The 18,060-nt window shown below is 49.2% G+C and overlaps 1 protein-coding gene across 54 annotated transcripts in view, besides 3 other annotated features; it reads left to right on the top strand.

Annotated features, from left to right (window-relative positions):
• Window positions 1-18,060, top strand: part of AFAP1L2 (actin filament associated protein 1 like 2) — a 124,451-nt gene that overhangs the window by 57,126 nt on the left and 49,265 nt on the right. For 53 of the 54 annotated variants that reach the window (XM_047425858.1, XM_047425857.1, XM_047425856.1 and 50 more), the window contains 3 exons: window positions 7,319-7,447; window positions 14,755-14,829; window positions 16,153-16,247. In XM_047425858.1, the coding sequence (XP_047281814.1) occupies window positions 7,319-7,447; window positions 14,755-14,829; window positions 16,153-16,247 (299 nt within the window). The remainder of the gene's footprint in view (window positions 1-7,318; window positions 7,448-14,754; window positions 14,830-16,152; window positions 16,248-18,060) is intronic. The other variant, XM_047425875.1, reaches the window with a different exon arrangement.
• Window positions 9,323-10,226: an enhancer, noted in NCBI's record as "OCT4-NANOG-H3K27ac-H3K4me1 hESC enhancer chr10:116097583-116098486 (GRCh37/hg19 assembly coordinates)". NCBI's record gives its function as "activates a minimal SCP1, AML or CMV promoter by ChIP-STARR-seq in primed H9 embryonic stem cells {active_cell/tissue: H9 hESC(primed)}" and the evidence as "EXISTENCE:reporter gene assay evidence [ECO:0000049][PMID:30033119]".
• Window positions 9,323-10,798: a biological region, named in NCBI's record as "P300/CBP strongly-dependent group 1 enhancer GRCh37_chr10:116097011-116098210".
• Window positions 9,599-10,798: an enhancer, noted in NCBI's record as "P300/CBP strongly-dependent group 1 enhancer chr10:116097011-116098210 (GRCh37/hg19 assembly coordinates)". NCBI's record gives its function as "activates an origin of replication core promoter dependent on BRD2, BRD4, P300/CBP, MED14 and CDK7 cofactors, with strong dependence on P300/CBP, by STARR-seq in HCT116 cells {active_cell/tissue: HCT116}" and the evidence as "EXISTENCE:reporter gene assay evidence [ECO:0000049][PMID:35650434]".

Here is an 18,060-nt window from a genome sequence, read left to right as displayed (position 1 = left end):
TGCAATACCCAGAATAGGCAAATCCACTGGACCGAAAGCAGATTTGCGGTTGCCAGCATCTGAGCCTAGGGGGAAATAGGGAAGTCACTGCCTAAGGAGTTCTCCTTTGAGGTAATAAAAAAAGTTCTGGAACTAGATAGTGGTAATGGTTGCACACATTGGGAATCTTAACACCACTGAATTGTAAACTTTAAGATGGTTAAAGTAGTAAATTTTATATTATCTGTATTTTACCATCACAAAAAAAAAGAAGGCTGGGTGTGGTGGCTCACACTCTTTGGGAGGCCAAGGCAGGAGGATCCCCTGAGGCCAGGAGCTCAAGACCAGCCTGGGCTACATAGCACGACTCTGTCTCTACAAAAAATTTAAAAATTAGCAGGGCGTGGTGGTACATGCCTATAGTCCCAGCTACTTGAGACCATATAGTCTCAAGTGGTACATGCCTATAGTCCCAGCTACTCAAGGAGACTCACTTGAGTCTGGGAGGTCAAGGGTGCAGTGAGTCATGATTGTACCACTGCACTCCAGCCTGGATGACAGAGTGACATCTTGTCTCAAAAAAAAGAAAGTAAAGTAAAATAAAAATAAGAAAAAAATCCCACTTTCTATGAACAGGCCAGACGTATAGTAGATACGTGCTAAAGGCTGACTCAGTGTTTTGCATTTTTGAAGACAAGGGGCATTTGCTCTGAGGTCACCCTTCTTAGGTGGTGTGAGGAGTGTATTTTTCCAGAAGCTCATCTTGAGAACTTGAGAGCTCTCTCTGATCAGGAGGAAGATCTTCGACATTTTCCACCCTCCCTGGCATCTGTAGGATGCTGTTGCTTCTCACAGAAAGTGTCACAGGCTCCTAACACTGACTGCTCCCCAGCAGTTGGGCTCATGAGGATAATACATTCAGTGGCTTGATCTTGGGAACTGTTGGGGCAGAGGGATACAGTCTTTCTATATAAAGCGCAGGTCTGCTCAGTTTGACATTGGGAAGGAAAATCATGCTCCATCTCAGGTCTTCAGCAAATGCAGCTGAATAAATAAAAATGTGTGCATAGAACAGCAGGGAAACCGTGAAGAGTGGCTTTTTCGGCATGTTGGGAAGACGTTTATGGTTGGGAACTTAGTGACCAAAAAGCAAGACAGCCTCAAGATGAGAAAAGCTGGGGGAGGAGGTCATCTGGAGGAAGAGCTTCACCACAGAGGAGGGCAATGAATCGAGCAGTTGAACCGCCCAGCCCTGCGTGGGCCTTGGAAGTCTCAAACAAGAAACTTATTGACCCTAAGCAGACAACCCTGAACTTTAACAGAGCCGGGATGGAAAGCCTGCACAAGGGCCTACAGTTTCCAGAATGAACAACACATTTATTTCTCCCTCGCTCCACAGGAGGACGAGGAAGAGACCGAAATGAAAGTGTGGGGGATGGTGGGGGAGAAAGGAAATGTGGTGAGCGAGTTCCAGGGCCTCAGGGCAATAGCCACATTCCTCTAAGGGATGCCCACCCCTCCCAGCCCTGGGGGTTGATAAATGTCACTGAGGTTGGCACTCTGGGGCCTTGCCTTTGTTGATTGTTATTTCCCCAAGCCTGTGGCTGGATCCCGAAAGGGTGTGTCTGGAGGAGAATCGCCTATGGCCTCCTGTGTGCTTAGCACCTTGTCGGACACCCAAATCTATAAATCTTGACCCTTGACCGGAAAGAGCTTCTGCCCTGGAGATAGACACACACCCAGACGACTATGCGCAACTGGTTTTGACAGTCCACAACCTAGGGAGGCAGACGCCAGCAAGAGAGCTGAGTGCCGCTGGTCACAGTGGCTTTCTGGAGAAGGGGCCTGGCTGGACCTGGAACAATGATATGGATCCAGAGAGGAAGGGAAGGAACATCCTTCCCTTTTGACTCTCTCTCATCCCCAGGCCTGCGCTCCTTCAACCCTGGGGCTTCCCCTTCACCTGCCACAGCCTAGAAGAGAAGGAGGGTCTCGACATTGTCCTCAGCAGACAGCACCCAAGAGCTGCTCTTCCCCACACATCTGGCTGGCCCACCCGCTCCCCGATGGGCAGGTGCCATGGCTGCCTGGTTCACCACGGTGTCTGATGGCTTTCCACGTCTCCACCACCCAGTGCCTACATCGGGCAGGCACCACGGCTGCCTGGTTCACCACGGTGTCTGATGGCTTTCCGCATCTCCACCACCCAGTGCCCACATCGGCAGGTCCTGTGGGCTCTCCCTGTCTCATGTCTCCAGTCCACTCTTTCTCTTCATCCCCACACCCTTTGCCTTGTGGAGTATGAAGGACTGATGGGCAGGGGCCATGACTCAGATGCACTTTCCTGGCTCCCTGGGAATGACTACAGCCAACGGATGGATGGCAGACACAAGTGCTTTGAACTTGGATATGCTTGGATTTGATCCCCCGTGCCGCTACTCATCAGGGATGTGGCCAAATTGGGTTGTAATTCAGCCTCCTTAGCCCATTCCCACAGCTGTGCACTTGCAGGGTGGTTGTGAGAATTGAGGTGGTAGGGGCACAGCTGATGGCATGGTGCCCAGCTGCCATGATTAGCTCACACCCTCATCATTCCATATGCACTAATGAGTTTATCTAACTGGCCTCCCTGCCTCCACTGCCAGTCCCCTTCCATCCATCCTCTTGAGGACCCACAGCTTCAGGATTATTCTCTCTAGTCTGCTTAAAGAACAGCCTTGCATGACCCTGCAGAATAAGGCACCAACTTCTGAGCAGAATAATAAAGCCCTCTTCATCTGCATCACCCCCAATCCACAGTTCTGGCCTTAGAGCCCACCTTCTCCCCTTTGAGGCCCACCCCCACCCACCTCGATGCTCCATGTTCCCCCGATACACAGAGCCACTGGGTGGTTTCCCAAACACATGTACTTTCAGGGCTCAAGTTTTCTGAGCATCTCATCCCTTTTTCTTTCTTTCCTTTTTTTTTTTTTTTGAGATGGAGTCTTGCTGTGTTGCCCAGGCTGGAGGGCAGTGGTGTGATCTCGGCTCACTGCAACCTCCGTCTCTCAGGTTCAAGCGATTCTCCTGCCTCAGCCCCCCGGGTAGCTGGGATTACAGGTGCACGCCACCACCCCTGGCTAGTTTTTGTATTTTTAGTAGAGACAGGGTTTTGCCAGGTTGGCCAGGCTGGTCTCGAACTCCTGATCTCAGGTGATCCGCCCACCTTGGCCTCCCAAAGTGCTGGGATTACAAACGTGAGCCACTGTGCCCAGCCATCCCTTCTTCTTAAAATGCCTCTGCCCCTTTCCAGTGAGCTCCTATGCATTCCTCAAGGACGAGCTACAATTCCTTTTCCTGATAAACTCAGAGTTTGCCTTACTTTCCTTATTGCATTGCTGGTCCTTGGAGACATCCCTTGATTAGTTCTCTTCTCACCCTGGGTTCACTAGGCCTCTGGAAGGGCTGAGGACCCCTTGGGGTCACCTTTGTTTCCCCAGGGCCAGGCCCAGCACTTTCCACCCTTTGGCTTGGTACATATTGGCTCACGTGAAATAGAAACAAAGGCTATTTTCCAGGAATTGGGCAGCTTTTGGGAATAGCCAAGGATGCGGAAGTGAAAAGATACTTACAGTTTTTATGGGTTTTTTTTTGAAGTGGCAGCAGAGGGACAGCCTTGAGAAGTTCAGAAGTCAGGAAAAATGCAGCTTGAGACCCCGATTGCCTTGCAAGGCCCTTTCACTTTCCCTTGTCCCCTGAAGTTGAGTTCAAGGCTCACTGTCGTTGTCCTCCATTTATTTTCCCTGGTTTGGCTTCTTTAAGCTCACTGCTTTTGAGTTCCTGGGGCCGACAGGAAACTCATGAATAGCTGTTAGTAACAAAACACAACACAAGCTAAGGCCTTTTAGTTGGGAGAACATGCTTTATTCTTTCTTTTAAATGCTTCTGTGGGCCAGCCTAGCAGATGCTGAGTCAATGCTCGTGGACTTCACAGTAGGAAATGTTTGTTTGCAGACCATCAGGGCTCTCATTTATAAGGCTAGATTATGGTCCCTCCTCACTTTATCTCAGGCAAGAGTTGGAATTTTGCCATCATCACGCTCCTTTCATTTCCTTGTTTAATTCAGTTTCTCTGCCTTGGTGTTGTCTCCCGTTCTTCTCTGGTTCGGCTCAGTCATCCAGGCCCAGCAGCACCATTGCCTTGGATGAGGGTGTGGTGATGCTGGCAGTGCGGCTCTTGGCCCTTGGTGAGCAAGTCTGGTCACAGCAGGGCATGGGGCTGGGGCCTCCAGCTCCAGCAGAGAAGCTCCCCTGGGTCAGATGGTGGGAGGCCCTACTGGTTAAGGTCAAGGGCAACAGGGCAACTTTTGCCAGGTGCAACCTCTAGTGATGCCCATAGTAACTGATCCCGCCGATGCTTCTCTGTCTGCTGAGAAGCTCCTGTGACCCATGCTCTTTGTGCAAACACTTAACTACCTGGAAGAGCTTAGTCTCTGCCCTGCACTCTGGTGAGCCCAGTGCCAGCCTCCCTCCCTCCCTCCTTGCTGGTTATTTGTAAATCTGCTCAGTGTCATGGTGGGGCTGACCAGCAATGCCAGGGAGACAAAGGAGCAGGGGTGAGGTGAGCAAATGAGTGCAGGCTTCCCACAAAGTGCCTGTTTCTCCTGAGCCACTGACTTGCCTCTAGAGTGACACAAATGAAAGGCTGCCCATGCAGACGGGGAGCTCATGCTGGTCTGGAGCAGAGTGATCACGAGGAAAGCAGGAGGTGCCAAGGGTTCTGGATGGTGGGCAAGTTGCTGGGGTCCAGGTTTCAGAACAGCTCATTCATGCAGTAAACCCTAGGAGTTGGTTTCATGGAGGCCATTTGGGGGAAGAATTGTTTGGGTTCTCAGTGTTGTGAGTGTATTATGTAAGCTAGATAAGTAGAGGAGATGCTTTTTAAAATCCCATCTGTTCCAGTATTTTGGCTAGATAGGACCTGCCAGATACCTGGATTTTTAGTGGACTTCTCTTTACTCTTAATCCAGGCCACTAATTTATTTTTCTTATAATTCAGCCATGGGATTCTTTCATGTACAAAGTAAGTGGATAGATTTGCTTTGCTTTCATTTACTCATTTAGTCAACAAATATTTATTGGATATTGTGCTGGGCCCTGGAAATGTGAGCTCCACACAAAGCCTGTCCTTGGAGCTTGCAGCTAAATGGCGACACAGACAGCTACGCTGTGATGCAGTCAGAGCTGTGAGAGGATGTCTCAGTTTCTTATTGCTGTGGTAACAAATTACCAAACTTAGTGACATAAAGCAACACGAACTCGTTAATCTACAGTTCTGGAGATCAGAATCTGAGAGGGGGCCACAGGGCTCCTGGAGGCTCTAGGAAAGAATCTACTTCTTCACCTTTTCCAGATTCCAGAAGCCACCTGTGTTCCTCGGCTCATGGTCCCTTCCTCCATCCCCAAAGCCAACATGGTAGCATCTTATCTCCCTGACTCTTACCCTCCTACCTCCCCGCTTATAAGAGCCACTGTGATTACACTGTGCTCACCTGCACAAACCAGGATAATCTCCTCATTAAATCACATCTGTGAAGTCCCTTTGCCACGTCAAGTAGCATATTCACAGATTTGAGGGGTTAGGTCATGGATATCATTAGGGGCCCAATATTTAGCCCACCACAGAGGCCAGTGCTGGTAACATGGATCTGTTAAAGAGGCCCAGAGAAGGTGTCTCAGGAGGAATGTTATCTAGACCAAGACCTGAGGTGTTACAGCGGATAGCTAGTTAGGTATGAGCAGGGAGGAGAGGGCTCCCCACCTCACCCCACACACTAGGAGTGTTGGATGACCACCAGGTGATGGTCAGGCAGTTGTTAACTGTTTCTCTAAAGGAATGATTGGTCACAGCTAGTGCCAGAGAAAGGCAGTCTCCTCATAGAAAACACCTGAAAGCAATCAGCAGCTTCCCAATAAGATCTCAGGAGTGGGAGAAGTAAGGCAAATCTCAGAAGTATGCCAGCGTAGAAAACCCCAAGTCTAGCGGTCAAGCCTCACACTTGTTTTCTCAGGTCACCCACGTAGCCGTCTTCCAAGTTGGACTTTGCTTCTTTTCCTTTCCTTACTGTTCTAAAGCTTTCTAATAAACTTTCACTTCTGCTCTGAGACTTGTCTCAGTTTCCCCTTCTGCCTTATGCCTCTCAAATTCTTTCTTCTGAGGAGGCAAGAATTGAGGTAGCTGCAGATCTATACGGATAACTACCACTGGTAACACAGGGACAATTGTGATTTAGCAGAGGGGGAGAAGACCATGATGTGTGAAGACCAGAGAAGGAAAGAGGGGTGCTGTGTCCGGGCTGTGGAGTATGACAGTGACCACGGGGGAGGCTGCTTCAGTCTGCAGGGCTTTGGAGGCCAGGTAGGGCTTCTGAGGAACCAGGTGTGGCCTTTTTCTTTTCTTTTCTTTTCTTTTTTTTTTTTGAGATGGAGTCTTGCTCTGTCACCAGGCTGGAGTGAAGTGGTGTGATCTCAGCTCACTGCAACCTCCGCCTCCCGGGTTCAAGCGATTCTCCTGCCTCAGCCTCCCAAGTAGCTGGGAACACAGGTGCACGCCACCATGCCCAGCTAATTTTTGTATTTTTAGTAGAGACGGGGGTTTCACCCTGTTGGTCAGGATGGTCTCAATCTCCTGACCTTGTGATCCACCCGCCTCAGCCTCCCAAAGTGCTGGGATTACAGGTGTGAGCCACTGTGCTCGGCCCAGGTGTGGCTTTTAATCATGGACAACCTGTGAACAGATTCGTACTTTAAAGCCGTGCAGTCAAGCCAAGGCGAGGCTTACAACCATAGAGCTTCAGAACTGGAAGGAACTTTACAAAGCATTTGACCTAATAGACTTAAGAAGTAAATGGGCCCAAAGCCACCCGGAGAGGATCAAGATGAGAGTAACCCTCATTCTAGCCACAGCTCTAAGAGCAGAGCTCAACAGCTCTCAAAGCATTTTGGAAGTAGTGCTCTCTTAGTTTTCACAAGAGCCCTGTGAGGGCAGGCGTTTGCAGTGGAGGAGATAGAAAGTTGGCCGACGAGGCCGTTGTCACTCTTCCAGCACCTGGTAGGGCTGGGACTTCAGCGGAGGCTGTTCATCTCCAAGCCAAGGGCCTGTTTCTCTCTCCCTGTGGCCCTGGAGCTGAGAATCCCATCTTCTGCCCAGTCCCCCCATACGCTGCCAGACCTCACACCAAACCCTTCCTCTTGGGACCAGAGGGTTCGAGGTGGGAGGCTGCAGGGTCCCGAGGTGTATCTGAGCTGGGCTTTGGAGAGCGGGCAGCCACTATAAGTTTCTTCTGTTTCCTGTCCCTAGCCCTGGAACAGCTGCTGACAGAGTTGGATGACTTCCTCAAGATTCTTGACCAGGAGAACCTGAGCAGCACAGCACTGGTGAAGAAGAGCTGCCTGGCGGAGCTCCTCCGGCTTTACACCAAAAGCAGCAGTGAGTGTGGGCCCTGGGTGGTGCAGAGGCCTCCACGCCAAAAGAGATGGTTGTGAGTCAGTGCGGGCTGCCATAGCTAAGGATCACAGGCTGGGTGCTATAAATGACACTTATTTTCTCACACTTCTGGAGGCCAGAAGTCTAACATCAAGGTATCAATAGGTTTGGTCCCTTCTGAGGCCTCTCTCCCTGGCGGGCTGATGGCTGTCTTCTCCCTGTGTCCTCACATGGGTTTTTCTCTGTGTCTGTGTCCCAGTCACCTCTTCTTTTAATTAACTTTTTTGAAGCAGGGGCTCACTCTGTCACCCAGTCTGGAGTGCAGTGGCGCGATCATGGTTCACTGTAGCCTCAACCTCCTGGGCTCCCAAGTAGCTGGGTCTACAGGTACATGCCACCATGCCCAGCTATTTTTTTTTTTTTTGTATTTTTTTTTTGTAGAGATGGGATTTCACCATGTTGCCCAGGCTGGTCTTGAGCTCCTGGGCTCAAGCTATCCGCCCTGCCTGGGCCCCTCAAAGTGCTGGGATTACAGGCGTGAGCCACCATGCCTGACCCTAATCTCCAATCTCTCTCTCTCTTTTTTTTTTTTTTTGAGACGGGGTCTTGCTCTGTTGCCCAGGCTGGAGTGCAGTGGCATGATCTCAGTCCACTGCAACCTCCACCTCCCAGGTTCAAGCGATTCTCCTGCCTCAGCTTCCGGAGTAGCTGGGATTACAGGCGCCCACCACCATGCCCAGCTAATTGTGTATTTTTAGTAGACAGGGTTTCACTATGTTGGCCAGGCTGGTCTCAAACTCCTGACCTCAGGTGATCCATCCACCTCAGCCTCTCAAAGTGCTGGGATTACAGGCGTAAGCCACCATGCCTGGCCTTAATCTCCTCTCTTTATAAGGATATCAGTCATAGTCGATTAGGGTCACCCTAATTATCTTATTTTAACTTAGTTACCTCTTTGAAGACCCTATCTCCAAATGCAATCATATTCCAAGGTATACTGGGTGCTAGGATTTAATATATGAATTTTCAGGGGACACACTTCACCCCATAACAATGGTGCGGGACTGACCCGAGTTGGGCCCGAGCCCCAGAAATCTCTGGTCACTTGACACAGCAGCCCACGAGTAAGGTTTTAAATGAAGTATTTTCTTTTTTTTTTGAGACGGAGTCTCGTTCTGTCGCCTAGGCGGGAGTGTTGTGGCGCGATCTCCGCTCACTGTAAGCTCCGCCTTCCGGGTTCACGCCATTCTCCTGCCTCAGCCTCCCGAGTAGCTGGGACTACAGGCGCCCGCCACTGCGCCCGGCTAATTTTTTATATTTTTTAGTAGAGACGGGGTTTCACCGTGGTCTTGATCTCCTGACCTCGTGATCCGCCCGCCTCGGCCTCCCAAAGTGCTGGGATTACAGGCGTGAGCCACCGCGCCCGGCCTAAGTGAAGTATTTTCAAAGCACTCTTCCATGCTGGTTGAAAGTAGAGATGGAATAATAAATTATAATAATAGCTAGGGCTTAATGAGCATTCCCATGAGCATATGTAATAACCCATTTCATCTTTAAGACATCCCTGTGAGGCTGGTGCTGTTGTTATAGAGGGGGAAACTGAGACCTGGAGAGTTTAACCTGCCCAATATTATACAACCCAAGGGAAAACATAGTTGGAAGACTTTGTAAATTACAGAACCCCGAGTCCATGATTTTTCTGTCTTTTTAAAATTGAGATCATTTACGTATAAAGTGCACATATGTGAAATAATTCAGTGAGTTTTGATAATTGTATACCCTTGCGTCCTGATCACCCAAAACAAGATATAGAACATTTCCATCCTCCAGAAAGTTCTGTCTTGGCCATTCCCAGCCGCCCAACACAAGCAACCATTGTGCTGGTTGATATTGCCTGTGCTGGAGCTCTGTATAAATGGATTCATACGATGTGTACTGTATGTCTGGCTTCTCTGGAGATTCATCCATGCTGTTGAGTGTGTCTGTAGTTTGTTCCTTTTATTGCTGAGTAGTATTCCATTCTGTGAATACATCACAATCTGTTTATCCTTTCACTTACTGATGGCCATTTGAGTTGTTCACAGATTTGAACTATTACGAAGGAGGCGGCTAGGAACATTCTTGAAAAAGTCGTCTTGTGGACATATGGTTTTATTTCTGGCAAATTCAGATTCTTTTAAAAAAGGAAAACCCTTTTTGTGAAGTCATAACAGTTGAGTTGATTTTTATGTCAGATGTTTGAGAACTGGAAATGCTGTTTGGGGACGGTCAGGGACCGTGCAAGGGCATCTAATCCATCTGCCTCCCAGCGGGAACAGGCCAAGTCCTGCCAGGGAAGGGAAGTCTCCACCTGCCCTGGCCATCACAGTCCAGAAATGCTTCTTTGTGTCCAACCTGAATCTGCCAGGCTACATTTCAAGGACTTTCCCCTTCCCTGTTCCCTGTGGAACTAGTTTCTATTCTCTGAATAAGCAGTCGTAAAGCCGAGGCATGTCGCTATATGCCCATCTGTCTTCTCTTCTGGAGGAATCATCTGCCTTAGCCTCTCATCAGAGGTGTTTTCTTTCAGACTTTGCAGCTTCCCATGCTCCTGAAGGCTTTGTAGGGAGCGTCCGCCCGCCTGCCGCCGGGAGTGCTGGTCAACAGCACATCAAAGCAGCCCATCGTGGGAACACAGATGGGAAATCTACATTACAAAGCGGGAAGGTTGGAGGGGGATGATTCACTCCATGAAGGATTCATCAGTGGAATCCTCTAAAAAGTACACTCCCCACACCACTTCCGATATGTTCCACCTTGAATGTTCAATGATAAGAAACACCTCTGTTGGGAACTGGAAACCACCTGTTTGTGATAAGTCTGACCCGTGGATCTTGGTGCTAACCACTCTGGCAGCGCCTCCTACATGTGGTCTCTTTTTTGAATTAACCTATGATGTGGCTTCCTGTAGGATGACCTTTTTGTTCTGCCCTTGATCGGCTCTTATAAAGTCAGGCCTTCCCCTCTCCGTGGACTCTGCAGCTCGTAGGGGGTGGGAAGCTGCTGAGAACTGGTCATGGGTTCCCCAAGGTGAATCACCTCCAGAGTGCCACCCATGCACAGCCACACTGAGGCCTGGGGCCTGCATTCTCAGAAGCGAAGCCCACTTGTTAATAGCCACTGTTTAACGGAACTTCCCTCCTGGTCCTCTTTGTACCCCTTAGACTGCAGAGTAGGTACAATAGCAGCCAACATTTATTGTGTACTTTCTGTGTCCCTGTACTTAATGCAGTAAATGACATGGATGACATCATTCATCCTTTATCCCAAAGTGTATTCCCTTTTTACCAACAAGGAAACCAAGCCTCTGAAAGTCACTTGCCTGAGGGCACACGGCTCTGAGGGCAGAGCCAGGGCTTGGGCCTGGACAGGTGGACCTAACCTTATCTCCCCCTGCTCCATTGCACTGCAGTTAACTGTCGTGTCGCACAGGACAGAATCGTAAACACACATACCGCACCTGAAATTACAGCATTCTTTCCCTCGGCCTCCCAGGCCCACCTCTACCCAAAACTTAGCTCAGCCTGTTGAGACTTGTAGGTGGAGGCGAGGTGATCATCTCAAGATAGCCGTGGTCCAACAGGCTGAGCTTCTGGGACTTCCACACATTTTGGGCAGGATGTGTATGTGTGCATTTACACTTCACAAAGGGAATTGCCTCTTTGAGTTTTCTGATCTTTGTTTCTTTTTTTCTCAGTGTAACACAAATTTTTCTACCCTCTTTGCTTTTTGTCTGGATGGAGAGGTCCAGGCATAGACTAAGATCTGTTTATTGAGGGCTTGGCTCCCTGTTGTCTATTCTAGCCTTCACCAGTGACAGCTGTGTCCCCACCACACCAGCCCCCACTCCTGCCTCACACTCCCACCCCCACCCTCAGAGGCTCCAGGGACATTTCAGTGGCTGCCCCTCTGATCAAAAGCACTTCAAATGTTCTGTATCCAGTGGTAGCAAAGAGGTTCATGTTCCTCCTCCCCACCCTATGCCAGTTCTCTGGGAAGGACCACCCTCTGCAGACCTCTAAGCACTTTGAGCTCATCTTCCCAACACCTTCAGGCCGTAGTCATTTCCCACCCACTGTGTAACGATCAGATTCAGGTATGTCTCTCCTGCCGGACTGTGGGGTTCACAAAGGCAGAGGTAACATCTGTTTTCTGCTGTATCCCCAACACTTAGCACAGTGCTGATGCTGAATGCACTTCGTCAGATAGTTGAGTGAATGATAGAAAGTTCTCTAGCCCAAGGCTGCCGCCTCCCAGACAGGACTGAGCAGTCTGGCCTGCCTGTCCGTGGCCTCCCAGTCTAGGGCCAGGTTTACTGTATTTTTCCCACAATTGCAGAAGGTCTTGGGAACTTCTTACTTACCAACCTGGAGAGTCCTAGATTAACAACCCTCTGAGAATCAAAACCAAGTCAGCCTCAGCCTGCAGCCCACCCGAGGTGGGCCGATGCACCCTCATGAAGTGGCCAGTGTGAGTTTTCTCTGCAACTTACAAATCATCATCTTAGAGAGAAAACACCTGCTCAGAATCCAACATTTAAAACAATAACATCTTGGCTTTTATTTTTTGTATAGGTATGTGAACTTAGTTAATGATATAAAAAAAAATGAACACTGAACACTATTTATGTTCTTCCAGTTCCTTTTCTGATCCTTATCAGCATTATCTGAATATTTTGGAGTAGCTGTGGTTTGCCTCTGTTTCTGCTTTACGTTATTTTTATATTTAGAATTGCTGCATGCACACATTTCCATGTGTTGACGATTCATATACTGTTTCTTTTTTTGCTATTCTGAAACATGATCTTATAATTAAACTCTAGGTCTTGGGTATCTTTGTAAACAGACACAGAGCTACCTTGCTAGTTTTCACGATTGGGTAGAGTTCAATGCTGGATGAATCCTAATGTTTAACCTATTGGTAGACATTTAAGTTGAATTTTTTTTTTTTTTTTGAGACGGAGTCTTGCTCTGTTGACCAGGCTGGAGTGCAGTGGCACTATCTCAGCTCACTGCAAGCTCTGCCTCCTGGGTTCATGCCATTCTCCTGCCTCAGCCTCCTGAGTAGCTGGGACTACAGGCGCCCACCACTACACCTGGCTAATTTTTTGTATTTTTTAGTAGAGATGGGGTTTCACCATGTTAGCCAGGATGGTCTCGATCTCCTGACCTCGTGATCCGCCCACCTTGGCCTCCCAAAGTGCTGGGATTACAGATGTGAGCCACCGTGCCCGGCCATATGTTGTATTCTTTTTTTAAAAAAAAAAATCATGCAGTATTGTAGTGAATGTCCTCAAATACAATTTTCTTTAAATGCTAGAGTTTATCTGTAGGATAAGTTTCTGGCAGTAGAAATGCTGGGTCAAAGAATATGAACACAAAAATGTATCCTCCAAAATCATCTCTAAAATGGCCATGCCAATTTATACCCTCTTCAGTAACCCATTTAGTTTTTAAAGGTGACTTGCTGTTATATATGTTGATGTGCCATGGTTTGTTACCATTTTCCTATTGTTGAGCCTTTGAGTCATGTCCCATGTTTTAAGCTGTCATTTTTCATCTTAGTTGTAAGGTTACCTTACCTTTCCAAACCCCCTAGTATCTGAGTTTTGTACTCTTGAGAACTGAAGAGTTTGGTTGAAACAGGCAGTATTTTGTCATGCAGACAAGAAAACGGAGGCACAAGGGTTAGGTGCTTTGCCCAGAATGATGCCGTTACGGCAAAGCTTTGGTTGAGACCCCGTCTCCTGCCTCTCCCTGCAGGGCACTTTTCCCCTCTGCCATGTGCTGGAGAAGGGACTGACCCAGCCCCCTCTGAGTCTCAGTGGGTGGGAATCTGTGAGTTCCGGTTCACTCCATTTGTACCTCATAGCTCCCACTATGCATCAACTGCATAAACTGCTGCAGTCCCTGGCACAGGGGTAACATTGCTGACTGGTCCTGGCAGGGCAAGGCACTAAGATGACAACCAGAGGTGCTCATCACTGAGGCTGTATCCAGCCCCCTCCTGTTCCTCTTGGCTCTCGGGTCCCTGCTTTTGCAGGCCTGTTGGCTGGAGTTTGGGCGGTCTGTGGTCGTGCAACAGAGTGACACTGAACTGCTTCCTTCGCCAGAGGTTAGAACTGGGTCCTTTGGCTCAGTAACGCGGTCTCTAACCACTGGAATTTATCAGCCACAAGTTTCTAGGAAATGCAAATTAAGGCTGCAGAAGAAATTCAAGAGGATTTTGATGAAGAGAAACACTAGAATGAGCTTCCTCTGAAGACTTCTGAAGAAAGGGTCCTTGGGGGATTGGAAATGGAGCAAGAGTTAGGAGGCCAGCTTTTCTCTGCCCAGGCAGGCATGGGAAAGGTGACTTAACCTGCACAGAAGTGGTTTTAAAGGAGGCATGGATTGTGCCACTGCAGGGTATAATCTATAGGGTAGAGCAGGTGGCTGGTGGTTCCTCAGTTCTTATTCTCAGGATACCCCTTTAAATTCAGAAATCACATGATTTGGCTATTCAGGTCCCCGTTCACCCATCCAATGGCCCCCTACCTAGAGGCCTGCGAACTAAACTTCCAGGTCTTCAGTGTGACCTGGGTTATCTATACACACTGGATCAGCCCATTCAAGTAATTCAGACTAGGGTGAGAATGACAGGAAATATTTTACAATTTAAATGAAATGCTAGGAAGCCCAGAGACATCTCTACTTGGTGGAATACAAGGCAGATCTTGAACTTAGGATTTCTTTTTTCTTTTCTTTTTTTCTTTTTAAGATGGAGTCGCACTCTGTTGCCCAGGCTGGAGTGCAGTGGTGCGATCTCAGCTCACTGCAAACTCTGTCTCCCAGGTTCAAGTGATTCTCCTGCTTCAGTCTCCTGAGTAGCTAGGATTATAGCTACCATGCCTGGCTAACTTTTGTATTTTTAGTAGAGACAGGGTTTCACCATGTTGGCCAGGCTGGTCTCCAACTCCTGACCTCAAGTGATCCGCCTGCCTCGGCCTCCCAAAGTGCAGGATTTTTATACCATAAGCTATCCTTCTGTATCTTACCTGCCCCCACACCCTCGGTCAGGCTAGAAAACTAGCAGTCAGCAACTTGCCATTTCTCTTTTGGAAATCTGTCAGCTCTTTGCATGTTGGACTATTCTTTCAATCCACTGAAAATGCTGTGTGCTTTTACTGGAACCTAGGCAGATGAAAACAGCTCTGGAGTAACAGGGTTTCTAGCTGGAGGCCCTTTCTCTTCAGGAAGTCACACAAAGCCTGTGTCTCCTTCCTTCTGCAGGCTCTGATGAGGAGTACATTTATATGAACAAAGTGACCATCAACAAGCAACAGAATGCAGAGTCTCAAGGCAAAGGTATGAGGCTGGGATCACTGACGCTGGTATGATGGCCACTCCTGGGATGGGGGAAGGTCCAAGCTGGTTCTGTCCCACCTCTCTTTCCTCCCAGCCGGCACACAGACCCGCCTGGCGGAGTTATTTTTGGAAGCCACATTTTTGTTGGTCGTATTTTGGGTTGATGTATTTCAGGATGTTTCAACAGGCCACCCCTTCCTTGCCCATTGGATAAGGAATCTGGCTCTAAAACTTTTTGGCTGTTCCCAGCATCATCCCAGGAACAGGAAGTCATAATTCAGATGTTCGAAGAAAGCAGCTGTGTGTGGTGCTGATCCCACGGTTCTGCCTTTATGTCTTTTGATAGAAGTCTGTTTTGAGGAAGAGGAGAGAGAAGTAAATGGTGGTGTCAGCAACTGCCTTAATAGTCAAAGATGATGTTCAAAGGTGCTGACTTTGGCGGAACGTTTAGTCTCCCATGGGAAGGACATATGTTTTCTTCCATGGTGCCTCACTCTTCTGCTCTGTTCTGCTCTCTGCTTTTCCCTTAAAACCTCCAGGGAGGGGCCTGGCAAGACCCCGGGGAGGCCCAGAGGTATGCAGAGCTGCCTAGTTGCAGAAGACGCAGGCTAAGAAGCTCCAATTCCTAACTTCCAAGCCTGTGACTTAACCACAAAGGCTTAGAGAGGGGTGGGAACACAGCATGGCAAAGCACTCAGTCCTGTTGAAGGCTTGTCTTTGAGACATCAGCCACCAAATCCCCGATATCGGGCCTGCCTGAGCCTGTCTGTCCCAGGGCTGGCTGAAATGGACAGGCTCAGAAGTGTCTTCGGCACCTTTCCTTCCAAGTGCACCGAGGGTTGGTGGCCTCACTTCCCCAGTGTGGCTCCTTCACTTCCTGCCCCTCACCAAGCCTGGGACATGGCAGAGCTCATCCAGATGAGGTTGGCCACTCTGGCGGGGGTCACTTGCCTTCTGGGTAAACTGTGGGAGGAAAGAGCCATAATCACAGGGTCCATGCTGAGAGTGGCTCAATATAGTGGCCACCAGGCAGCTTCTCTGCTGGCCAAAGCTCTGTGGCTAGACCATTTTTTTTGACATGGGATGGGTAGGGGAGCAGGTACAGAGGCTGCCAGAAACCCCAGGCACATGTCTGGGGCACTCCTGCACCCTATTACTGCAGGGAGGAAAAACAACTTCGGTTCCAGGGACCGCCTGCCTGGGTAATTAACACCTGCTCAAAAAGAACTCACAGGGTGCATGTGACCGGGCATTCCTGAGGAAGGAGACCCTGTGTAAGGCTGGTCACCCCTCACCGAAGCCTTTTCCTTTTGCTGCCCGCAGCGCCTGAGGAGCAGGGCCTGCTACCCAATGGGGAGCCCAGCCAGCACTCCTCGGCCCCTCAGAAGAGCCTTCCAGACCTCCCGCCACCCAAGATGGTAAGCATCAGTTCAGGACCCCTGATTTCCCTGACGTGAGCCCCTTGAACTTCCAGTTGTCTCCACAGGTGTCAGCTCACTAAGTGTCTGGCATTTTCTGAGCAGCTACTGTGTTCAGGGACTGGGACAAGGCACGTGTAGGGACAGAGCAAAAGTAAACCTGCCTACAGGTGATTTGCTTGGGGCCACAGTACTCCGGATGCTGAGGGTGATGGGTCTGGGGACATTTGATTGAGTGCCACCTGACGCTACTCAGGCTCTTTATCCAGCACCATGTGAACAGGGCCATGAACAGCTGTGGTCACCAGCCTAGACCACAGTGACCTTTAAAAAATTTGCACTAGCCAGGTGCAGTGGTGCATACCTGTATTCCCAGCTACTCAGGAGGCTGAGGCAGGAGGCTTGCTTGAGGCTAGGAATTTGATGCTGTAGTGTACTGTGATCACACTTGTGAATAGCCACTACAGGCCAACCTGAGCAACATAGCAAGACCCCATCTCTAACATATAAAATAAGTGAATAAATAAATAATTTAATTCCCCTACATTGTTCTGGAGTTTAAAGGAAAAGTAAAAATTCATAAAACATATCACACTGTACTACCTGCTTGAACCTTACCAGTAGTTCTTATTAAACATAGAAAAAAAAAAATCCCGTTCCTTAGCATGGCCTCAGGGCCTATGATCTGGCTCAGCTGCATGTCCTGCCTCCTCATCCAGGGTCTTCACTGGCCTCCTTTCTGCCCCTGGATTCTGTCACTGTGGTCAGGCCTGCTTTAGAGACTTTGTACCTCCTGGGCCTCTACCAATTTCTCATCTCTCCAGAGTTCTTGAGAGAGACTCCTGCTGACCTGGCTAAGTAAGGCATCCCTCCCCCATCTGCACCTGGGTTGCTATCTACCCACCACCCAGTTACCCACTCCATGGCACCTGCTACTGGAAGTCTTGTTTACTGTCTCCTCTCCTGATGTCAGCTCCTGAGGACAAGGACCTTGTCTCTCGTTTACTATTTTGTGTCCAGTATCTGCAGACATGGACAGATGTAGGCCATACCTAAATATCCATTAATGTGGATGGAGTTGTAAAATCATATGGATGTGGGTTCAAATCCCAGTTCTGCATGCCACTAGCTCTTTGAACTTGAGCAAGTTAAAGTCTCTAATCCTCTATTTCCTGGTTTATATGGAAGAAATGCTCACATCTGTCTCGTCAGATGGGCTTATTTAATGGGCTAAGGATGGCAGCCCCCCCACCACTGTGTGTGGCATACTGTGCTAGTATTCAGTGAGGTAAGTGGTAGTGTTTATATTTTAAGGGTGAGGAAACCTAATGTCACACAGCCTGTAAGTGACAGAGTCAGCATTTGAACCCAGGTTCTTTCCTCTGTAGGGCATGGCTGGGGAGGGATCCTGGGGCAGGACTGGGGTCTCAGCTTAGGAGGGTTTATGTGGGTAGCCAGGGGGTCTTGGGTCAGCGCCAGCAGGAAGCTAAGCTCCTGCCAACTGACCGTCACCTGATCTGTGGGCTCATGTTTCCGTGGAGGGGGTCCCAGCCCCAGAATGGCTCTGGACTGGCCCCTTCATTCGTGCCTTCCTGGGGGGAAGGGGCCACAGCTGAGGATCTGACTCTACCATGTGGGGTGGGTGGGCAGTTCTGGAGAACCTGGGACAGTGTCCCATTGCATGCCGTCCCTTGAGCTGGGTGACAGCTGGTGGAGACTCCTCATCTCAGGCTGAGTGAGGCTTGATGTCGGGACTGAACCTGAGTCCCTGGTGTCCCTGTGATGCTGACAATGCCAGCGACTGCTACACCCT

The sequence above is a fragment of the Homo sapiens genome, chromosome 10 (genome assembly GCF_000001405.40).
Source record: "Homo sapiens chromosome 10, GRCh38.p14 Primary Assembly".
NCBI classification, from domain to species: Eukaryota; Metazoa; Chordata; class Mammalia; order Primates; family Hominidae; genus Homo; species Homo sapiens.
This window is presented reverse-complemented; position numbering and strand designations above follow the sequence as displayed.